General features: G+C 39.5%; 3 annotated features.

Moving 5' to 3' along the window:
- Nucleotides 445–614: an enhancer, noted in NCBI's record as "experimental_27723 CRE fragment used in MPRA reporter constructs". NCBI's record gives its function as "activates a minimal promoter by MPRAs in K562 erythroleukemia cells, with activity observed for both the introgressed and non-introgressed 12:28735786 variant alleles {active_cell/tissue: K562}" and the evidence as "EXISTENCE:reporter gene assay evidence [ECO:0000049][PMID:34662402]".
- Nucleotides 445–764: a biological region, named in NCBI's record as "Neanderthal introgressed variant-containing enhancers experimental_27720 and experimental_27723".
- Nucleotides 595–764: an enhancer, noted in NCBI's record as "experimental_27720 CRE fragment used in MPRA reporter constructs". NCBI's record gives its function as "activates a minimal promoter by MPRAs in K562 erythroleukemia cells, with activity observed for the introgressed 12:28735636 variant allele {active_cell/tissue: K562}" and the evidence as "EXISTENCE:reporter gene assay evidence [ECO:0000049][PMID:34662402]".

Raw genomic sequence — 859 nt, 5'->3', positions numbered from 1 at the left:
ATCACAGTGTTGTGAGGATTAAATGAAATAATGCTCATAAAGCACATCAGCATCCTTCATGTTTATCTAGTATTTCTAGGGACTCACTGGAGTAGAGGAGAAAAGATTCAGGAGTCATGTAACAAAAGTACCCACCTCATAGGGTTGTTGAAAGCAGTAAATTAGTCAATGAAGACGAAACACTAAGATAAGGCTTGGCATGACACTTCATAATAAACACTATAAACTACTTGCTGTTGCTGTTGTGGTTATCTTTATTTTACAGTTGAACAAACTAAAACATACAGAGGTTAAGTAACTTGCTTGGGAACCAGAGAGCCTGTAGGCTATGGCATCAGGAATTAAAAGCAGGCACTGATTCCATGACCCATGCGCTCTACCATTATTCCTTCTCTATGTATAATAACGATTATATCGTTATCATTTTGACAACAGAGAAAAGCTTCAAGTAGGCTTACTCACTGTCACCTTAATGAAGAGCAGTTTCTAATTCACCAGCCTGCTAAGTACATATTCTGTTGCAGGAGCATACTGAATTAAATCAGTAACAATTTAACCACCCATTAACCATTCTTCTGGGAGTATAGGATAGAAATCCTTATCTGTTTTATAGTAAGATGCTATTTTCCTGCTGCTACACTCTTTCAGTTGATCAGGGAGAGAAGAAAAAGTGTTCTCGGGGAGTCTTCTGGCAGGCGGAGGTGAACCAAGTCAAATGCCCTGGTGATCTCTGACCTTTCTTTATCAAAGACTCTAGACCACTCCACTTTCTGATGGCATGATCAGGAATGTCTAGCATAGGGAATGCTTCCTGCTCCTCCCAGAGGTGTCCTGAGAATTTTCCTAATTTCTTTTGAAC

Source organism: Homo sapiens, chromosome 12, assembly GCF_000001405.40.
Source record: "Homo sapiens chromosome 12, GRCh38.p14 Primary Assembly".
In the NCBI taxonomy this organism is placed as follows: Eukaryota; Metazoa; Chordata; class Mammalia; order Primates; family Hominidae; genus Homo; species Homo sapiens.
Note: the sequence above shows the minus strand (reverse complement) of the source record. Positions and strands in the feature narration are given on the sequence as shown.